This window comes from Homo sapiens, chromosome 1 (assembly GCF_000001405.40).
Source record: "Homo sapiens chromosome 1, GRCh38.p14 Primary Assembly".
Taxonomy (NCBI): Eukaryota; Metazoa; Chordata; class Mammalia; order Primates; family Hominidae; genus Homo; species Homo sapiens.
This window is the reverse complement of record NC_000001.11, coordinates 154,146,964-154,168,832: the sequence shown is the minus strand read 5'-3', so window position 1 is coordinate 154,168,832 and position 21,869 is coordinate 154,146,964. Positions and strand designations below refer to the sequence as shown.

The 21,869-nt window shown below is 43.5% G+C and overlaps 2 protein-coding genes and 1 pseudogene across 24 annotated transcripts in view, besides 3 other annotated features; all 3 read left to right on the top strand.

The window, feature by feature from the left end:
* TPM3 (tropomyosin 3) overlaps positions 1–13,525 on the top strand; it is a 36,793-nt gene extending 23,268 nt beyond the window's left edge. For 10 of the 16 annotated variants that reach the window (NR_103461.2, NM_001364679.2, NM_001364680.2 and 7 more), the window contains one exon: positions 11,112–13,525. Coding sequence is in view for 15 of the 16 variants with exons in the window: in NM_001364679.2 (NP_001351608.1) it covers positions 11,112–11,194 (83 nt within the window). In the remaining variant the exon portion in view is untranslated. Of the gene's footprint in view, positions 1–892; positions 7,021–9,784 lie in introns of those variants that run through there. The other 6 variants (NM_001364681.2, NM_001043353.2, NM_001043352.2 and 3 more) reach the window with 2 other exon arrangements.
* RN7SL431P (RNA, 7SL, cytoplasmic 431, pseudogene) lies at positions 2,284–2,586 on the top strand (annotated as a pseudogene).
* Positions 12,642–12,819: a silencer, noted in NCBI's record as "fragment chr1:154128490-154128667 (GRCh37/hg19 assembly coordinates)". NCBI's record gives its function as "represses an EF-1alpha promoter that drives an FKBP-Casp9 reporter gene in an ReSE screen in K562 erythroleukemia cells {active_cell/tissue: K562}" and the evidence as "EXISTENCE:reporter gene assay evidence [ECO:0000049][PMID:32094911]".
* Positions 13,426–13,926: an enhancer, noted in NCBI's record as "H3K4me1 hESC enhancer chr1:154127383-154127883 (GRCh37/hg19 assembly coordinates)". NCBI's record gives its function as "activates a minimal SCP1, AML or CMV promoter by ChIP-STARR-seq in primed H9 embryonic stem cells {active_cell/tissue: H9 hESC(primed)}" and the evidence as "EXISTENCE:reporter gene assay evidence [ECO:0000049][PMID:30033119]".
* Positions 13,717–21,869, top strand: part of NUP210L (nucleoporin 210 like) — a 162,427-nt gene continuing 154,274 nt past the window's right edge. For 6 of the 8 annotated variants that reach the window (XM_011510122.2, XM_011510123.2, NM_001159484.1 and 3 more), the window contains exons 1-2: positions 13,717–13,991; positions 15,961–16,097. In XM_011510122.2, coding sequence (XP_011508424.1) covers positions 13,789–13,991; positions 15,961–16,097 — 340 coding nt within the window. In that variant the 5' untranslated portion in view covers positions 13,717–13,788. Of the gene's footprint in view, positions 13,992–15,944; positions 16,098–21,869 lie in introns of all 8 variants that reach the window. The other 2 variants (XM_047433904.1, NM_207308.3) reach the window with 2 other exon arrangements.
* Positions 13,927–14,427: an enhancer, noted in NCBI's record as "H3K4me1 hESC enhancer chr1:154126882-154127382 (GRCh37/hg19 assembly coordinates)". NCBI's record gives its function as "activates a minimal SCP1, AML or CMV promoter by ChIP-STARR-seq in primed H9 embryonic stem cells {active_cell/tissue: H9 hESC(primed)}" and the evidence as "EXISTENCE:reporter gene assay evidence [ECO:0000049][PMID:30033119]".

The following is a 21,869-nucleotide window of genomic DNA, read 5'->3' as shown; positions in this document are numbered from 1 at the left end:
CATTAAAGGCTGGGCGTAGTGGCTCACACCTGTGATCCCAGCACTTTGGGAGGCTGAGGTGGGCGGATGACTCGAGGCCAGGAGTTCAAGACCAGCCTGGCCAACATGGCAAAACCCTGTCTCTACTAAAAAATATTTAAAAAATTAGTTGGGCTTGGTGGCGCATGTCTATAATCCCAACTACTCGGGAGGCTAAGGCAGGAGAATCACTTGAAACCAGGAGATGGAGGTTGCAGTGAGCCGAGATAATGCCACTGCACTCCAGTCTGGGTTGAAGAGCAAGACTGTCTAAGAAAAAAAAGCTCTGGAGGCAATTAATCTTGGATCAGAAGGAGAACCCTGACTGACTTGTAATTTTTATATTTTGTATTCATAGTTTCTTCATTATACTGTGATTTTTCTATTTGCTTCTCAAATTTAGTCTTCTCAGAAGGGATACTGCTAGAGGTAGAATCCATACAACTAAGGAAATAGGGCCCACAGAGCCAGTAACTTGGGCCCTGACACATTAAGACAAAATTCAGGCCTCCTGGGTGTGTTTAATTGGTTCCCTGATATTAAAGTTCAGGGAACTACCCAAGATGGGAAATACCAAATTCACCTAAGAATTGAGCTGAGTCCCAGAAGCAAGCCAAGTGATAAACAGCACCAAAAAGAGTTGTTGGGGCTTCATCTGTTTGCTGTGGATCCCTGATCCTTGATGCTAATCTGCCTCTTTGTATCTTTCCCACTAACCCTGAAAAGAAGCCACATTTCTCAGGCTGAAGTGTCTGGCTCTCTTTTATTATTCCTGCTGCCACCTCTTCCTTTTTTTCCTCTTCCTTTTTCCCAGTTTGCTATCTAGATTGATGCTAGTCCTTCTCACCTAGAGTATCCTTACTTTTTCATACAGATAATTATCACCGTTTCTGCTCTGTTCTGGATCTGCCCCCTTTACTCCTCGGGGAACCCAAGGCCCCACTCTCGCTCTGGATTCCATTTGGGTCAGCCTGGCTGGTCCCCAAGGCATTAGGATGGGGGAGCAAAAAGCAACTTATGTATTTTCTTCCACCCCCACCCCAAATTAAAATGTTAAGCTGCTGGAAACCTCATGCCACCCTGCATTTGTGTCATTGACAAAGCTGTTGCTGTCCCTAAGAAGGAGCCTTGGGGGTGTGATGTGGGGAAGAGCTATTGTAGGCTCCCCCTCCTCTGACTTATGTAATCAAAGCCACTTTTGTGTGTGTCTATTTTTTCTTGACATTTAAACTCAGCTGATCTGATTCTACCAGAGTGATGGATTTAGTACAGGTTACTCAGGATAGTAATTTTAGTTATACTCCTCAAGCTGAACAAGATTAAATTCCTTATTTCCAGGTTCTTAAATCATCCTGCCTGCAGTGTTTCCATTCTCTCTTCAGGTATTCCTCCTTTGGTGTGGTGTCATTGAGAAGCCATTGAAGTGACTCTCAATACACATTCTGTACCCTTTTACCGGTGGTTCAAATGGTGCATCCTCAGAACACCCAGTGAACCCAATACATTATTGCTAAGATTGACTAATTATGTCAACTCCAGTCACAGAAAAATACACAATGGATAGAATTCTGGACGGTTTTTTTACTTTTTCTTCTTTAAACCTTTCTTACATATTTGAGACTTGCTACCATTTGCCTGCTAGTGTGTGACTAGTGGGATATAAGATAAGTGATAAATTATTATTGGGAAAACTAAAATGACCAATCATGCATATTTCAAATAATGTGCATATGAGGCTAATGATTTATTACATACATAAATTTCTGCTAGTAAAATTTTCCTTGGTTCATATTGTGGAATTAAATATCAACATTTTAGAAATTCCCATTATAGGCCGGGCGTGGTAGCTCACGCCTATAATCCCAGCACTTTGGGAGGCTGGGGCAGGTGGATCACCTGAGGTCATGAGTTCGAGACCAGCTCGGCCAACATGGTGAAACCCCGTCTCTACTAAAAATACAAAAATTAGCTGGGCATGGTGGGTGGGTGCCTGTAATCCCAGCTACTCGGGAGGCTGAGGCAGGAGAATCGCTTGCACCTGGGAGGCGGAGGTTGCAGTGAGCGGAGATCGCGCCACTGCATTCCAGCCTGGGCAACAGAGAGACTCCATCTCAAAAAAAAAAAAGGAATTCGCATTCCAATTTACACAGCAGAGATTTCTTAATAGTATAGCTGTGAATTATACTAATCCAAGCACGTAAGTGTTGTTCACTTAGTACTTTAGTTTCCCAGCAGGGTATGTATTTAAAATTTGCTTTTCTTTTAGCTGGGTGCAATGGCACTTGCCTGTACTGCCTGTAGCTTCTTGGGAGGCTGAGGCAGGAGGATTGCTTGAGCCCAGGAGTTCTGCACTGTAGTGTGCTATGCAGGTCAGATGTCCTCACTAAATTTGGCATCAGTATGGTGACCTCCTGGGAGTGGAGAACAACAAGGTTGCCTAAGAAGGGGTGAACTGGCCCAGGTCGGAAATGGAGCAGGTCAAAATTCCTGTGCTGATCAGTAGTGGGATTGCACCTATAAATAGCCACTGTAGTACTCCAGCCTGGGCAACACAGCAAGATTCCATCTGTTAAAAACACTTTTGCTCTTCTTTTAAACAGATATAATCAGGTAGGGAAGTTTTCCTTAATCTAAAACTTTAAGTCATATCAAATTCACGTTTCCTTTTGTCCATTCCATTTCTTACTGCCGCATAGCCTTTGAGATTAAGGTTCAGATTCATTTATTCAGCTGACACTTCCTGGTATCTTCTAGGTATAGGATATTAAGATGGAGACAGAAATAAAGATGGAGGCACCATTCCTACTCTCAAGTTGCTTAGAATCTACTAGGAGAGAAAACATACATAAAGCTACAGATACTGTGTGATGAATGCCACAAATAATAGTGTTATGGGAATTGAGTAGAGGGGACGAGATTGATCCTAGTGGGAATGAATTGGAAAAACTCATGGAAGAAGGCATGTAATGGGTACTTCATAAACATGTTAAAACTTTTTTCTTTTTTTCTTTTTTTTTTTTTTTTTGAGACGGAGTTTGACTCTTGTCACCTAGGCTGGAGTTCAGTGGCCTGATCTCAGCTCACTGCAACCTCTGCCTCCTGGGTTCAAGCAGTTCTCCCACCTCAGCCTCCCGAGTAGCTGAGATCACAGGCGCCTGCCACCACACCCAGCTAATTTTTGTATTATTAGTAGAGGTGAGGTTTCACCATGTTGGCCAGGCTGGTCTGGAACTCCTGACCTCAAGTGATCCACCCACCTCAGCCTCCCAAAGTGATGGGATTACAGGCTTGAGCCACTGCGCCCAGCCAACATGTTAAACTTGCATATTCATTTTTATTGGGTTCCAAAAGTGGATTTTTGACAAGCAGAGTTGGGTTGTGGGATAGTGAATATTGAGCATTCCATTATTTATTTATTTTTCTCTTTTTGAGATGGAGTCTCGCTCTGTCACCCAGGCTGGATGGAGTGCAGTGGTGAGATCATGGCTCACTGCAACCTCTGCTTCTTGAGTTCAAGCGATTCTCCTGTCTCAGCTTCCCGAGGAGCTGTGATTACAGATACCCACCACCATGCCCAGCTGATTTTTGTATTTTTAGTACGGACGGGGTTTCAGCATGTTGGCCAGGCTGGTCGCGAACTCCTGACCTCAAGTGATCCACCCGCCTCTGCCTCCCAAAGTGTTGGGATTACAGGCGTGAGCCACTGCACCTGGCCTGAGCATTCCATTTAAAGAGAAACAAAATAATAAAGGCATTGATAGAGATGAGAAGGCCACAATAGCTCTAAAGGTAGATTTAGACAGAGTAGGGAACAGGTTGTGTCTTAAAATGAGGCTGAGGAGTTATAATTTTACTTGGAGTTAATGGGGATGCCACTGGAGATTTTGAATAGGATATGTTGTGATCTGAATAACATATAAGAAGAATTAATTTGGTAACTAATTTGCAGATTAGCAAAGTGATTCACTAACATGGTGTTTCTCACATTTCAGCCATTTATGTTACCATTTTTGATGGCTTTTTCCATATTCATTGCTGCCTACATTGTTTTCTTCAGATCTACTCATTTCCAGATTTATTTTGTTCTTACTTGACACAATTCTATTTTGAAATCAAAGTTTTGATGTGTTAGTGTTTTTTCCTAATCACATTAAAGTAACTATAGCAGTGAATACACCACACTTTGGAAAAAATTGGGTTAGGTTAATTTAGTTTTCTAGGAGAGAATAATCAGGGTCTGAGCTAGAGTAGTGGCAGGAGAGATAGCACTAAATAAAGACAGGCATTGTGAAAGGCCTGGCCACTTGATGTGAGGAGGAAAGACAAGGATGACTGGTTTTTAGAGTAGGAGAATTAGCCGGGTGCAGTGGCTCATGCCTGTAATCCCTGCACTTTAGGAGGCTGAGGTGAGAGGATTTCTTGAATCCAGGAGTTCGAGACCAGCCTGGCAATAAAGTGAGAACCTGTCTCTACAAAATATAAAAACTTAGCCAAACATGGTGGTGCGTGCCTGCAGTCCTATCTACTTGGAGGGCCGAAGCCAGAGGATCCTTTGAGCCCAGGAGTCTGAGGCTGCAGCAAGCTGTGATCACACTGCTGCACTCCATCCTGGGTGGCAGAATGAGACCCCCCCCAAAAAAAGAGTAGGAAAGTGGTGGGGTTAAAGATGTAGGGAGATCATGTTGTCCTGGTTTGGGGAGCTGGGGGAAGGGAAAGAAGATACGGCTGACAATCTGGCAGGTATCTGGGTGAAAACAAAATTCTAGGGCGTGAGGCAGAGAGGTTGACATAAGAGAGTTGGGAATCCATATGGGGTACAGGTAGTTTATGCCATGGAGGTAAATTAGAACCATGAAGGACAATTGCAAATACAAAAAAAAGAGGCCAGGCACGGTGGCTCACGCCTGTAATCCCAGCACTTTGGGAGGCCGAGGTGGGCGGATCACGAGGTCAGGAGATCAAGACCATCCTGGCTGACACGTTGAAACCCCGTCTCTACTAAAAATACAAAAAATTAGCTGGGCGTGGTTGCGGGCACCTGTAGTCCCAACTACTTGGGAGGCTGAGGCAGGAGAATGGCGTGAACCCGGGAGGCGGAGCTTGTAGTGAGCTGAGATTGTGCCACGGCATTCCAGCCTGGGTGACAGAGCAAGACTCTGTCTCAAAAAAAAATTAAACAATGAGGAAAACGTTATGTAAGAGGAGGAACCAAATGGAACTGATTGGAGGGAAAGAAGACGGTTGAGTAGTTCTTTAAAAAGTTCCGGGTTGGATGCTTTCTAGTGGTTTTTCAACAGAGAGGCTAAGAAGGAAGATAACTGAAAATGGGACATGCATTGATACTTTAGTAATTTGAGGGTACATTTTGAGTGTTAAGAAGTGAAGAGGAGGAGTCATTTTCAGGGGCAAAAGAGTGTATTGGTAGGAAGATTATATAGGCAATATAATTTACTTTAGAGCAGGGCTTTCCAACAGAACTTTTGGTAATGATGTCTAGTACATTAGCCACATGTGGCAGTCAAGCACTCAAAACATGGCTAGTGTGGCTGAGGGGCTAAAATTTAATTGTATTTCATTGTAGTTCATTTAAATTTGGCTACCTGTGGCTAGTGGCTATTATATTGGACAATGCATTTCTAAATATTCAGATCCTGGGCAGAAGTTGGCTTTGACATGAAGAAAGACTTCTTAGAAAGGAAGGAAGTAGACCGGGCATGGTGGCTCATGCCTGTAATCCCAACACTTTGGGAAGCCGAGGCAGGTGGATCACAAGGTCAAGAGATCAAGACCATCCTGGCCAACGTGGTGAAAACCTGTCTCTACTAAAAATACAAAAATTAGCTGGACATGGTGGCACATGCCTGTAGTCCCAACTACTCGAGAGGCTGAGGCAGGAGAGAAAAAAAAGAAGGAAATAAGAGGGAGATTGGGAGAAAAGTAAGGTGTTATAGCTCTGATCTGTGGTATCTCCTGTTTTCCTTGCGGTATGACTAGTGTGAGCCAAGGATAGAGACCAACAAACTGGGGTACCAAAGTGGACAATGAAGTACTATGTAATTAGTGCTAATGCTAAATTCATTCCTTTGTTTAAGGCTTAATATCCTTGCAGAAGCCATCCTGTGTTACTTGAGCCTGGACTAGTATTGGGGTGAAGTCAAGCATCAGAGTAAAACATTTGTCCCCTTAATGTTACCCCCTCTTAATTTCTAAGAACCACAGGCCCATTTTGCCCTTCCTTGTTACCATCATTGAGATAAGGAATAAGATGTAGTAACCCCAAGTTATCTGATAGGTACAACTGACCTATTCTGTTTGGCAGCTTTATCTTAGACCTATTCTGTTTGGCAGCTTTATCTTAGCCCCAACCAAATCTCTTCCTTTCACATGGTGTTGGTTGAATACTATCCAACTCCATGGGGTTGGTTTGTGTTTTTTTTTTTTTTTTTTTTTGAGACGGAGTCTTGCTCTGTTGCCCAGGCTGGAGTGCGGTGGTGTGATCTTGGCTCACTGCAAGCTCCGCCTCCTGGGTTTAAGTGATCCTCCTGCCTCAGCCTCCTGAATAGCTGGGATTACAGGCACGTGCAACCAAGCCCGGCTAATTTTTGTGTTTTTAGTAGAGACTAGGTTTCAACATGTTAGGCTGATCTCAAACTCCTGACCTCGTGATCTGCCCGCCTCGGCCTTCCAAAGTGCTGGGGTTACAGACTTGAGCCACTGCACCTGGCCATGGGGTTGTTTCTTAATTAGATATAGCTGAAAAGAACGCTAGACCAAATAGGTTCTCTGCCTTGCCTTTTCGTTTGTTTTGTTTTAGCTATTATCAGGGAACCAAAAACTTTAAGGAGCTAGTACTGGTCTTAATTTTTAATAACTAGAGATAGCAGAGTTAGAAACTAAGTTCAAAGTGAGAGAACAGCTGCATTTGTCTTTCTGACCTCATGCAATTCCTAGGAAACTCTGTGTTCTGTGATTTAGTCAGGCAATAAAATGCTCTCACTCCTTCTCTGTCTCTTTATTTCTTCCCTAAATGGAAAAGAATTGACCAGGCTGCTTTGAGGGATAAAGATCCTGATAACGCGGCTGGGTGCGGTGGCTCATGCCTGTAATCCCAGCACTTTGGGAGGCGGGCAGATCACCTGAGGTCAGGAGTTCAAGACCAGCCTGGCCAATATGGTGAAACCCCATCTCTACTAAAAAAAAAAAATGCAAAAATTACCTGGGCGTGGTGGTGGGTGCCTGTAATCCCAGCTACTCAGGAGGCTGAGGCGAGAGAATCGCTTGAACCTGGGAGGTGGAGGTTGCAGTGAACCAAAATCGTACCATTGCACTCCAACCTGGGCAACAAGAGTGAAACTCAAAAAAAAAAAAAAAAAAAAAGGATCCTGATAACATCCTTCTTTCCCAAGTGAGAATCACACAAACTAACTTGGTTATAGGTATTATCTAAATTCAGGCTGTTCACGAGATCTATATGTAATGTAACATCACAGGAAATTTGAGAGATTAGTTCACAAATTTCAACACCTGTTATTTTGACAAGGACGCCCCAGTGAATAAGACAGGTCCAATCTCAGGCCTCATGAAGCTTATATACCATTAGTATAGTTTTGAGTATTCCTTATTCAAAATGCTTGGGAGCAGAAGTGTTTTGGATTTTTGCTTTTTTTTTTTTTTTTTTTTTTTAATATTTGCATTATACTTTCCAGTTGAGCATCCCAAATTCGAAAATCAGAAATTTATACCAGGCATGGTGATGCACACCTATAGTTCCTGCTACTCAGGAGGCTGAAGCAAGAGGTTTGCTTGAGCCCTAGGAGTTCAGGGCTGTTGTGCACTATGATTAGGCCTATGAATAGTCACCACACTGTAGCCTGGACAACACAGTAAGACCTTGTCTCTAATACACACACACACAAACACACACATCTGTATGTGTATGTAAAATCCAAAATCCTCCAATGAGCATTTTCTTTGAGCATCATGTTGGCATTCAAAAAGTTTCAGATTTTGGAGCATTTTGGATTTTGGACTTTCAGATTTGGGTTCTCAGCCTGTATAGTGTTTGTCAATGGTGAACGTTTGTCATTTAGAGTAGGACAGTTCTGTTGATGTACAGAACAATCCTGTGTATTGCTGTCCCCTGCCCAACAGATACCTGTATGGGCCTTCTAGTCACTGTGATATCAAAACCTCCCATACATACTCAAAATCTCCCCTTGGAGAGAAGAGTGCACAATACCACCCCTATTGAGAACCATTGGTTTAATGGGGAGTGCAAGTTAAAGGTTCACCCTGATTCTACTGTTTAATACAGCTATTATTTTTAGTCATTCCCTCCCAGGCTTTTTACACATATATGCTTTCTGTTTTGATAGTGTACATAAAGTGGCAAGTATTACTGGGACCATACTGGTCTCTAGCTTCCCAGTCAATCTGGGGAGAGCCTCAGCCCACAAGGCAGGGTACCTGAGCAATGCTCACATATGCAGATGATTTTAGGACAGAAAAGTATCTTTTTCATATTGAGATCCTGAGACCATTTTGAAACGGGCTGTAAAATATAGGGAGAAACTTATTTGTGAATTTCAGAGGTTGATACTAGGAGTATACCAGGAAGAGTTTGGTTTTCCTGTCCCCAAAGTTGTATTATCCCTGTGCTAGTCAGATGTATTTGAATCTTCCATATCCCACTATCTCTTTAAAGTGTGCTTCAAATGGAAAATCCAGATAAACCTATTAGATTTGAGCACTTAGCTGCTTGTATCAGGAATGCTTGCTAAATTGTCCTTTAGCCTGATTTGTAAAAAAAAAAAAAAAAAAAAAGGAAATAACTTACTTAGTAGCTTAAATAAATATGGGATTTGTTTTTTAATCACATACATCTAGCCATGAGCAACTGTGGCCTGTTGTAGCTGGGCTTTCCATGATTCTCTTGGTCTTTTCTCTTAAGATTGAAATATGCAACTCTGGTCATCACATCCATGTTGAAGGCAAGAGGGAAAGCTAAAGTTTTCCCAGAAGCCCCCAGCAGACTATCTTTCTACATCTCATTGGTTAAAACTGGATCATATGATCACCCCTAGCTGCAAGGGAGGCTGAAAAACAACAGGATAGTCTTGAGTAGCTTATACCAGTAATTTGCCTTCCCTGGGACTAGGCACACTATTTGTTGACTCTTAACAGGTTTGGGGTTCTTTTAAAGAAGAAGAAGAAATTGAATATTTATTGGCTAGGCCACTGAAATGGGTCTATCACACAATATCTGTAACACAAAGCATTAGAAAGTATAGGAGTGAATGAGTGTGGGGATATTTCTCCCAGTATACTGTTTATAATGCTGTCTTGAATGCTTTCACAGAAAAATGTTCAGCTGTTCACTTCCATTCCTTTCAAACCCTGATTATTGTGAACACATTTCTTCGAAGCCAACTGTATTCCTTCCTTTGCCATTTCCCTTGTTTCAGTTTCTCAACCCAGGGAATAAATATTGTGAAGGAAGCATTTTTTCTCCCTCAAAATGTTGTCCTACCAACTTGTCAGTCTGAATTTCCTCTGTTGGTCTTTCCACCAACTGACTGACTCTTATTGCCCTCTATCTGAATCCTCCTTGCATCCACCCTGCCTTACAGATGCATGTTATATATACCAGCTAGTTGAAAGACTCATAATTTACTTCTGGTACTCTACTAACTTTCCCTTTTTCTCTTTCTCCTCCTCTTTTTCCTCTCCTTCTCTTGTGTTCCCCTCCTCTCCGTTGCTGCTGCAGAGCGTCTCTACAGCCAACTTGAGCGAAACCGCCTGCTTTCTAATGAGCTGAAGCTAACGCTGCATGATCTGTGTGACTGATGGGCAGGGCTCAATGATGCCCATTAAACTGAGCTTACTGCTCACACCACTGACCTGGACCCCAACAAAAAGCTGATTGTCTTTTTAAAAGTTATTATTTTGCCCTGAGCAAATTGCATTTTAATTGGGGCAGTTAGAATGTTGATTTCCTAACAGCATTGTGAAGTTGACCATTGTGAAGTTTCTGTCCCTTTAGAAGAGATTATGGGTGAAGAAGGGAGGGGCCTGAGAGATTATAGTGAGAAAACTTGCGAGAATTTTGTTTTCCACCCTTATTTGCTGCTCTTTCACTTGGGCACTGACTGTAGGATATGTTCCCTTGCATGGATGTTTTTAACAATAAAAGGACTGACTTGACAAGTTGTTGTAACTGCTTCATCGGCAGGCCCAGGAATGGGTCCTTCTGACTGGGTGGAAAAAAGGGAAGTGAAAGAAAAGTTGTGGGATATGAATATGGGTCTGTGTTGCCATCACCTTCTCTGAGTTGAAGATTTGAGTATTTTCCTCACCTCTTTAGAGCAGTCAGAGTGGTTTGCTTGCTAGACAGATTAGATTCTCCTTAATGTTCAGCTGCTGATTTTCTTTCTGACTTTTGCGTCCTTTTTCTGGTTTTATGTTAATTTCAAGTAACTGTCACAAGCTAGTTCTGTTCAATAGCTCTGCAGCAATCTCAAGGTTTGCTTACAACTACTTGTTTCAGTAGTATTCTTGGCTTTGTTTTCTTTAGAGATTATTTGACTTAACTGTGAGCGCCCTTTTATTTATCCCATCAGTTATTACTTTGGCCTCTACTTTTTCGAAAAAACATGTAGTGCATGAGGATCTTCCTGTGCTCTTTATAATCTGAGATTCTGATGTTTCTATTGTTTGCAATGTTCAAACTCCGGTGAGCCATTTCAAGAGGGTATTGTTATGTGGGCAAAACCTAGAAAAGTGGATGGCTGATGGTTAAGGCTTGCTCTTTCATTGACTGAAAGCTGAAAGTGTTGGTTGGGTGTGGGAGGGAGAGGAAATGGCTGATAAGGGCCCTAACTCCCTCACCCAGGAAGTGCAGCAACACCTACAACTTCAGTAGGCAAGCCAAAGGCCCTACAAAACTGGGTGATGTAATAGCTCACTTCTGTGGCTGAGAAGGCAGCTGCTTTATCAGTCTGCAGCTTCTCTGCAACAGGAGCAAGTCTCAAAGAGCGGGTAGACCTTGAAATTTACTTCTAGTTCTTGTAACTTCTCTCCTTTACCCCCATTAGATAAACTGAAATGCACCAAAGAGGAGCACCTCTGTACACAAAGGATGCTGGACCAGACCCTGCTTGACCTGAATGAGATGTAGAACGCCCCAGTCCCACCCTGCTGCTGCTCCTCCCTCTGACCCAGACTCCGCCTGAGGCCAGCCTGCGGGAAGCTGACCTTTAACTGAGGGCTGATCTTTAACTGGAAGGCTGCTTTCTCCTTTCACCACCCCCTCCTTCCCTGTGTCTTTTTCGCCAAACTGTCTCTGCCTCTTCCCGGAGAATCCAGCTGGGCTAGAGGCTGAGCACCTTTGGAAACAACATTTAAGGGAATGTGAGCACAATGCATAATGTCTTTAAAAAGCATGTTGTGATGTACACATTTTGTAATTACCTTTTTTGTTGTTTTGTAGCAACCATTTGTAAAACATTCCAAATAATTCCACAGTCCTGAAGCAGCAATCGAATCCCTTTCTCACTTTTGGAAGGTGACTTTTCACCTTAATGCATATTCCCCTCTCCATAGAGGAGAGGAAAAGGTGTAGGCCTGCCTTACCGAGAGCCAAACAGAGCCCAGGGAGACTCCGCTGTGGGAAACCTCATTGTTCTGTACAAAGTACTAGCTAAACCAGAAAGGTGATTCCAGGAGGAGTTAGCCAAACAACAACAAAAACAAAAAATGTGCTGTTCAAGTTTTCAGCTTTAAGATATCTTTGGATAATGTTATTTCTATTTTTTATTTTTTTCATTAGAAGTTACCAAATTAAGATGGTAAGACCTCTGAGACCAAAATTTTGTCCCATCTCTACCCCCTCACAACTGCTTACAGAATGGATCATGTCCCCCTTATGTTGAGGTGACCACTTAATTGCTTTCCTGCCTCCTTGAAAGAAAGAAAGAAAGAAGACTGTGTTTTTGCCACTGATTTAGCCATGTGAAACTCATCTCATTACCCTTTTCTGGGTTTGAAGCTGCTGTCTCTAGAAGTGCCATCTCAATTGTGCTTTGTATCAGTCAGTGCTGGAGAAATCTTGAATAGCTTATGTACAAAACTTTTTAAATTTTATATTATTTTGAAACTTTGCTTTGGGTTTGTGGCACCCTGGCCACCCCATCTGGCTGTGACAGCCTCTGCAGTCCGTGGGCTGGCAGTTTGTTGATCTTTTAAGTTTCCTTCCCTACCCAGTCCCCATTTTCTGGTAAGGTTTCTAGGAGGTCTGTTAGGTGTACATCCTGCAGCTTATTGGCTTAAAATGTACTCTCCTTTTATGTGGTCTCTTTGGGGCCGATTGGGAGAAAGAGAAATCAATAGTGCAACTGTTTTGATACTGAATATTGACAAGTGTCTTTTTGAAATAAAGAACCAGTCCCTCCAACCCTCAGACCTATTTGACTTTTATTTATTAAAACTAAATGTGCTTTCTCCACAGAAGCTATGAGGTTTGGGTTAAAAATAGCATCTTTGTGGGTGGTAGCAACAGGATTTATTCTTTATTATTATTATTTTTGAGATGAAGTTTCATTCTTGTTGCCTGGGCTGGAGCGTAATGGCTCGATCTCGGCTCACTGCAACCTCCGCCTCCTGGTTCAAGAGATTCTCCTGCCTCAGCCTCCCGAGTAGCTGGGATTACAGGCACCTGCCACCATGCCCGGGTAATTTTTTATATTTTAAGTAGAGACAGGGCTTCACCATGTTGGCCAGGCTGGTCTCGAACTCCTGACCTTCAGGTGATCCACCTGCCTCAGCTTCCCAAAATGCTGGGATTACGGGCGTGAGCCACCGCACCCAGCTGGAGCAACAGGATTTAATATAGAGCAAATGTTTAGTTTTATCATCTGTAAAATGGAGATAAGTATTGTCAGAGTAAACATGAAGATTAGAAAGAACACTTAATGTGCTGGGCCTTTTATAGGTTAACACTGACATCTCAGGCTGAACTATATACATTTTCCTTCACAACCATATCAATCCTTATAAACTATGGATTTATGCTCCTTAAAACAATATATAATGCTGATCACTACTATAAATGCGTGGTTTTAACCAACTGTACTGAAACAGCTTTGAGTTTATATTCTGTTTGGATATTTGGAGAAAACAACAAGTGCTCTCAAGAGTATTTGCTTAGAGGCCGGCTGTGTGAGTGGATAACTTTGAAAGCTGCTTTTGAGACGCCAGTGTCTGGCATTTCCTGCATTCTGGCCTGGAGGCCGGACGTGAATCTGACTTCTAGTAAAAATACACGGTTCCCTTGACAAAGTCGAGCTGTTTATCCCAGAGACTGCACAATTTTCCGTTGATAGGCATGGACCAATGCTAACTGGAAATCATTGCAAAAAGTTTTTTTGTCGGGCGGAGGGTGTGGTGTTAAGATAAACAGTGTGCAACAGAAGAAATTAAAACTGGAAGAAATTAAAGGGTTTTTTTTAGACTTTTCTGCTTGTTCCTTACTGTTAAAAAGGTCTGCCATCCAGTATTTAGGAAAGCCCTTTAAGAGAGTTTGAGGTGTTTTAGCTGGGTTTGTGCCAAAAGTTTCCATTATATTGGCTTGCTGAAGGACTGCATTTAAAAATGCCCACACATCCGAGCAAGAAGCAGGTCCCATCCCCCTCTGCTGACGTCACGCCTGTGGATTGGCTGATGGAGCTGTGAGCCGGCTGTAGTTGAGCGGGAACCCGAGACCTGGCAGTCGCCATGACTGGCTGTCCGGCGTCATCAAGACGCCGAGGCTTCGGGCTCTTTTTCTTCTTGCGTCTACACCGCCTCCTGTTGTTGTTTCTGGTTTTGCGTGGGACCCTGGCCAACAAACTTAACGTGCCACAGGTGTTGCTACCCTTCGGCCGAGAGCCAGGCCGGGTGCCTTTCCTGCTGGAGGCCCAGCGGGGCTGCTACACTTGGTGAGGGGTGGTGGGTGACAAGGATATGCACCCTCACTACCATCCAGTAAGGGTGAGGGGGGTTCCCTCTGTAAGATCCCACAGGAATACCGTGTGGGGCCGCGTGAAGGGGCCTAGCCGGTAGGGGAGGAGAGTGTGGTGTCAGTGAAGGTGGCGAGGAGCAGACCCTTGGGTGTGGCGTGTCCTACTCATGTGGTATATCCTCCAGCTGTGTGACAATCTTCCAGACGTGTGAGGAATTCTCGGGATGTGGGACTGGCCTCTTCTCTGTGTGTGTTGGGAAGGGGTGGTCACTATGAGCAGCCGTCAGGGTAAAGGGAAGCCCTGTGTTGGAGGCCACAGGTACTGATGACTTCCAATGTAAACAACTAGAGTAAGAGGAAGTTCCCCATATCTGAGGAAATTTCTGTAGGAACAGGAAAACTTGGGGTGCGAGGGTCCCCACTAACTATAGATGAGCTATTCAATGTGAGAAGGACTTAAAACACAACAGCCAAGTATTGGGGGTTAACTAAGCACTTTACATGTGTTAACTCATTCGCTTTTTGCAGTCTTATGAAGTAAGTACTATTACTCCCATTTCACAGACGAGGAAAGTGAGGCCCAGAGACTATGAAGTGTAAACTTCTGGGAATATGAGAAGATTTATCGTGGGTGGAGATGAGATCTGTCTGTATTATCAAAATTGCCCCATTTATAAAAGGGTACCCGCTTGAAGTGTGAGGACAGGGGGTACACACAACTCCGGGATAATGACTTCCTGACTGAAGATGAAGAGACATGATTTTCTGGTGTGAGAGGACCCAATGATGGGTTATGTGGTTGCCTAAGGTATGAGAGAACCTAACCGAAGTGAGCTTCAGGATGCCAGTGCATTCATCCTAGATGGAGTAGATACCCCTTTGCCATCTCCTAGGAGAAGCAATGAGGTTTGTTCCGAGTATAAATTCACCTCTCATTTTATGAGGAAGTATAAGGAAAGTGAGCTTGTAAGATGATCCAGTGTGACGTGTGTGTTTCCTGACCGTGAGGGTGATGCAAGGCATCTTTCCAGCATTGAAAGCCATTTCTTCTATCACTCCAAAAATATTAATGAGGCCAGGCATGGTGGCTCACGCCTGTAATCCCAGCACTTTGGGAGGCCAAGGCAGGAGGATTACTTGAGGCCAGGAGTTTGAGACCAGCCGGATCAACATAGTGAGACCCCGTCTCTATTTAAAATAAAAACATTCGGCCGGGCGCAGTGGCTCACGCCTGTAATCCCAGCACTTTGGGAGGCCGGGGCAGGCAGATCACTTGAAGTCAGGAGTTCAAGACCAGCCTGGCCAACATGATGAAAGCCCATCCCTACTAAAAATACAAAAATTAGTCGGGCATAGTGGCAGACACCTGTAATCTCAGCTACTCGAGAGGCTGAGGCAGGAGAATCGCTTGAACCCTGGAGGCGAATGTTGCAGTGAGCTGAGATCGCCCTGCTGCACTTCAGCTTGGGCAACAAAGTGACTCGGTCTCAAAAACATAATAATAAATAAGAATAAAAATATTTATGAATGTTTTTGGTATTTTGAGTTGGACTCACACCTCATAATTTAGGCACCTTTTCCATCCTAGATATCAGAAGCCTGGTTTCTAGGATTGAAGGAAACTTTCCTCAGAGTATGAGAAAGTCCCCTCTCATTACTAGAAACACATCAGTCGTATTTCTGCATACTGAGGGAAGAATATAAAAATCTTTTAAAAAAAATTGAGGGAGGGATATTTCTGGGACTTTGTTCAAGGGATCATTGGGAAAGTTCTCATCAATCTCTCAGTTTAATTATCGCATCCCTAAGCAATGTTCCTTCTTTAAAAAGTGTCATTTACATATACCTGGTAGTATGTAACATGGAAGAAGTGTGAGAATCTATGTTCCACTAAAAGTTAATTTTAACCCACCTATTTCACACTCTTAAGAATTTTGTTCTGGCAGGCATTCCACCCATCATGATGCAGTTACTGTTGAGCCTTTATATGAAAATGGCACCTTGTGTTCCCAAAAAGCTGTACTCATTGCTGAATCTACGCAACCGATACGCCTCAGCAGTATTATTCTTGCTCGAGAAATAGGTATGTTGAGAGCAAAAACACTATGTATCACTTCTTCTGGGGTAGAATAATCTGGTATTTTGTATAGATAGTTAACACAAATGGTGTTGGCTTCAAATGATCAAAGGGAGAATAAATGATTCCTAGCTGGCTGCAGTGGCTCACGCCTTTAATCCCAGCACTTTGGGAGGCTGAGGCAGAAAGATTGCTTGAGCTCAGGAGTTTAAGAACAGTCTGGGTAACAGAGTGAGACCTATCTCTACAAAAAAAAAAAAAAAATTATGGCTGGGGGCGGTGGCTCGCGCCTGTAATCCCCCCACTTTGGGAGGCCGAGGTGGGTGGATCACCTGAGGTGGGGAATTTGAGACCAGCCTGGCCAACATGGTAAAACCTCGTCTCTACTAAAAATACAAAAAAATTAGCCGGGCGTGGTGGCGCACACCTGTAGTCCCAGCTACTCAGGGAGGCTGAGGCAGGAGAATCGCTTGAACCCGGGAGACACAGGTTGCAGTGAGCCAAGATTGTGCCACTGCACTCCAGCGGGGCGACAGAGGGAGTCTCCATCTCAATAAAACAAAATAAAATAAAATAAAATAAAATAAAAATGAAGAGTATTAGGCAGGATTTTCATTTTTTCTTTCTTTCTTTCTTTTTTTTTTTTTTTTTGAGACGGAGTTTCGCTTTTGTTGCCCAGGCTGGAGTGCAGTGGCGTGATCTTGGCTCACTGTAACCTCTGTCTCCCAGGTTCAAGCGATTCTCCTGGCTCAGCCTCTTGAGTAGCTGGGATTACAGGCGCACTGCCACCACACCTGGCTAATTTTTGTATTTTTAGTAGAAAGGGGGTTTCTCCATGTTGGTCAGGCTGGTCTCAAACTCCCGACCTCAGGTGATCTACCTGCCTCAGCCTCCCAAAGTGCTGGGATTATAGGTGTGAGCCACCGTGCCCGGACAGCATTTTCTCTTTTTTTAGAGACAGGGTCTTGCTTTGTTGCACAGGTTGTAGTGCAATGGCACGACAGTAGCTCACTGCATCCTGCCTGGCCTGCGCAACACAGTGAGACTCCATCTCTACAAAACAATAATAATAAATAAATTAAAAGAATTTTTAAAAACCACCTAAAACCTATTCTTAAGTGGACTTTGCAATTAGATAGAACTAATCTATTTTTGTTTCCAGCTTTGGAAAATTTCCTAGTACATCTGAGTCATCACTTTTCCCCCACTCCCTTTAACCTTTTGGTTCCTAGGGAATAAGAGTCCTCTGCTATTTTTCACCAGATTTTTTTCCAACTACTAACACCTATTCTACAAATTTTGTTACTGGCCCTCTTAATGTTCTCACATGTGCAGTCAGTGACAACTATATCTTGACTGCTGCCTGGCTGAGAGGACTTGTAAGATGTCATCAATTATAAGATAAATCCCAATTGCAGAGATGTTAAAAGATAAAAAACGAGTGTCTAAGAATCAATGAAATATGGTATGATAGTCTCAAACATAAGAATCTTTGAAGACCATGTCATGCAGGGTAGCTAAAAAGGATAGAGAAGGATACGAAAGTCAGAAAAAACAAAAAACATTGATTTGGTCACATATGCGATTTTTAAAATGTAATCATTTTTAACTACACAAATTCATTCTGATATAAAAAAATTCACAGAAGTACTAGGAAAAATGTCAAATCTTGCTCTCAGCTTAACTTCGTCTGACTTGGGACCAATTTTCCAAAGTTAAGTATCCTTAAATCAACTTTCCCAATTTTACTATTAATACAATTGTGTACATAGATGAGATTCCCAGTGGTAAGGGCCAGTCTTGGTGTCCTACTAGGAGCATCTGAATGGGAGCAAGTAGTAGGAAAGGGGTGGGATTGGGCATTTTGAAAGAGAAGTGCATGCCTAAGAGAAATTGTTCATTAATTCCTTGGACAGATATTTATTGAGTTGCCTACTTTATAAGGCATATATAAAGGTAAAAAGATGTAAGCTTGCCATTGGCATTTAAGTCCTTTTTTTTTTTTTTTTTTTTTGAGATGGAGTCTTGCTGTGTTATCCAGGCTGGAGTGCAATGGCGCGATCTTGGCTCGCTGCAACCTCCACCTCCTGGGTTCAAGCAATTCTCCTGCCTCAGCCTCCTGAGTAGCTGGGACTACAGGCATGCGCCACCACGCCTGGCTAATTTTTGTATTTTTAGTAGAGATGGTGTTTCACCATGTCGGCCAGGCTAGTCTTGAACTCCTGACCTTAAGTGATCCACCCGCCTTGGCCCCCCAAAGTGCTGGGATTACAGGCGTGAGCCACTGCACCCAGCCTTAAGTGCTTATTATAAAATTTTGTTTATGATGGTTTTGGTGATAGTGTAGTAAAGAAAGTGGTCATGACAAAGATGATGGATAGACTTGAGGTGAGAGACTTAAGTGCAATGACGTGATCTCCACTCACCGCAACCTCTGCCTCCCGGGTTCAAGCGATTATCCTGCCTCAGCCTCCCGAGTAGCTGGGATTACAGACATGTGCCACCATTCCCAGCTAATTTTGTATTTTTAGTAGAGACGTGGTTTCTCCATGTTGGTCAGGCTCATCTCGAACTCCCAACCTCAGGTGATCTGCCCGCCTCAGCCTCCCAAAGTGCTGGGATTACAGGCGTGAGCCACCACACCTGGCCTTGCCCCGCTAAATTTTTGTAATTTTTATAGAGGTAGGGGTTTCGCCATGTTGCCTAGGCTGGTCTCAAACTCCTGGAGTTAAGCAGTCCACCAACCTTGGCCTCTCAAAGTGCTGGGATTATAGCCATGAGCCAACCACACCCGGCTGAGAGCATAATTTTAGGTGAAAAAGTTCACAGGGCAGATGAAGAACTGGTTTGGACAACTGAAGTGTACCTGTAGTAATGTGGACCTGTAAATAAAAATATCTGTTATATTATTTAATAAAGTTGTATTCTCTTCACTTTAAAAGTTAAATGTTTGATATTTCTCCTAATCATTCTAAATTTACTTGTAAATCATCCAAAATAATTTCATTTATTTATTATTTATTTTTATTTTTTGGGACAGGGTTTCACTCTGTCACCCAGGCTGGAGTTCAGTGGCACAAACATGGCTCATTGCAGCTATGACCTCCTGGGCTCAAGTGATCCCCCTACTTCAGCCTCCTGAGTAGCTGGGACTACAGGGGGGCACCACCAGGCCTGGCTAGTTTTTTTATTTTTTGTAAGACTATGGTAGTGGGGTTGCTCAGGCTGGTCTTGAACTCCTGGGCTCAAGCAATCCTGCCTCAGCTTCCCAAAGTGTTGAGCTTATAGGCTTGGGCCATTGTACTGGGCAGTTTTTTTTCTTTATGGTCAATGGCCTTATATTGAAAAGTTTTCTAGGCTGGGCACGGTGGCTCACGCCTGTAATCCCAGCACTTTGAGAGGCCAAGGCGGGTGGATCACCTGAGGTCAGGAGGTCGAGACCAGCCTGGCCTACATGGTGAAACCCCGTCTCTACTAAAAATACAAAAATTAGCTGGGCGTGGTGATGGGCACCTGTAATTCCAGCTACTTGGGAGGCTGAGGCAGGAGAATCACTTGGACCCGGGAGGTGGAGGTTGCAGTGAGCCTAAATGGCATCATTGCACTCCAGCCTGGGCGACAAGAGCAAAACTCCTTCTCAGGAAAAAAAAAAAAGAGAAGTTTTCTGCTGTTGAAGTAGTCAGATGAGTAAGCATTGTGTGCACAAGACTTTTCCTTTTTTATGTAAGGTCACAGCTGCTTGTGTTTGCCATTGTGCTACACATTTCTCTACTGAAAAGGGGGCTTTAATTTCTCATTTGACAAGTGCTAGATTACTCAGTGCCTGATTATCAAGTTACGGATTACCTAAGATTACCATCCCTCCCTTCCTTCCTTCCTTCACCATCCTGGAACACTTCCTTAGTGGTAATTCTACCAGCAGATCCTGTGAGATTTCAACTTACCTTGTTGTTTTTTGTTCATAGACCCCCATGTCTTTGTCTTTAATTATTTTAACTTGGGGTTCTGTTTGTCAGTTAAATGTTAATCAAGTAGAAGGCTAACTTAATTTTAAAACTTTTTAATTTAAAAATGATTTTAGATTTACAAAAGAGATGTAAAGATAATACAGAAAGTTCCCATATACCCTTTACCTAGTTTGCTCTAATGTTTCACTAATCTTCTCTAGGATTCAATTAAAGATACACATTGCTAAACTAAATTGTCATGTTTCCTTTGTCTCCTCCAATCTGTGAGTTTCTCAGTCACTTTTTTCTCTTGAGACAAAGTCTGTCTCTGTCACCAAGGCTGGAGTGCACTGGCACTATCTGGGCTCACTGCAACCTTTGCTTCCCGGTATCAAGTGATCTGCCCACCCTAACCTCCCCAGTAGCTGGGACTGCAGGCACACGCCACCATGCCCAGCTAAGTTTTGTAAAGATGGGGTGTCACCATGTTCAGCCTTTTAGTCACTTTTGATGCTTTTTTTTTTTTCTGAGACCGAGTCTTGCTCTGTCGCCCAGGCTGGAGTGCAATGGTGCAATCTCGGCTGACTGCAACCTCCGTCTCCCGGGTTCAAGCGATTCTCCTGCCTCAGCCTCCTGAGTAGCTGGGATTACAGGCACGCACCACCATGCCTGGCTAATTTTTTGTATTTTAATAGAGACAGGGTTTCGCCATGTTGGCCATGTTGGCCGGGCTGGTCTCGAACTCCTGACCTAGTGATCCACCCACCTCGGCCCCCCAGAGTGCTGGGATTACAGGTGTGAGCCACCGTGCCTGGCCTTGACACTTAAAGAGTGTTGGGTGGCCAGGCACGGTGGCTCACCTCTGTAATCCCAGCACTTTGGGAGGCCGAGGCGGGTGGATTACGAGGTCAGGAGTTTGAGACCAGGCTTGCCAACATGGTGAAACCCCATCTCTACTAAAAATACAAAAAATTAGCCAGGCATGGTGGTGTGTGCCTGTAATCCCAGCTACTCTGGAGGCTGAGGGACGAGGATTGCTTGAACCCCAGAACCCCAGAGGCAGAGGTTGCAGTGAGTTGGATTGCACCACTGCATTGCGACAGAGAGAGACTTTGTCTCAAAGACAAACAAACAAACAAACAGTGTTGGGCCAAGGGCACTAGCTCCGGAGGCCTGTAATCCCAGCACTCTGAGAGGCTGAGGCAGGAGGAACACTTGAGCCCAGGAGTTCAAGACCAGCCTGGGCAACATTAGCAAGACCAAGTCTCTACTAAAAAAAAAAAGAAAAAATTAGCCAGGCATGATGGTACGTGCCTGTAACCCCAGCTACTCAGGAGGCCAAGGCTGGAGGATTGCTTGAGTCCAGGAGTTTGAGGCTGCAGTGAGCCATGATCAAACTGCTGCACTCCAGAGACCTTGTTTAAAGGAAAAAAAAAAAGTACTGGTCAGATGTTGTATATAGAAAGTTTCTCAATTTGGGTTTGTCTAACTTTTTCTCATGATTAGCCTGGGGTTATGATTTTCAGGGAAAAAACCCACATAGAATTGAAGGGCCCTTCCCATTGCATTATTTCATGGGGTTCATGATATCAGCATGATTTATCACTGGTGGTGGTAACCTTGATCACTTGGTTAAGGTGGTGGTATCTGTCAGGTTTCTCCACTGTAAAGCTACCATTTTCCCCTTTGTATATGCTATTCATTAAAAGGGGTCATGAAGCCTAGCCCACAATTTAAAGGAAGGGGAATTGGCCTGGACAACAAAGTGAGACCCTGTCTCTACAAAAAACTAAAAAATTAAAAATTAGCCAGGTGCGGTGGCATGCGCCTA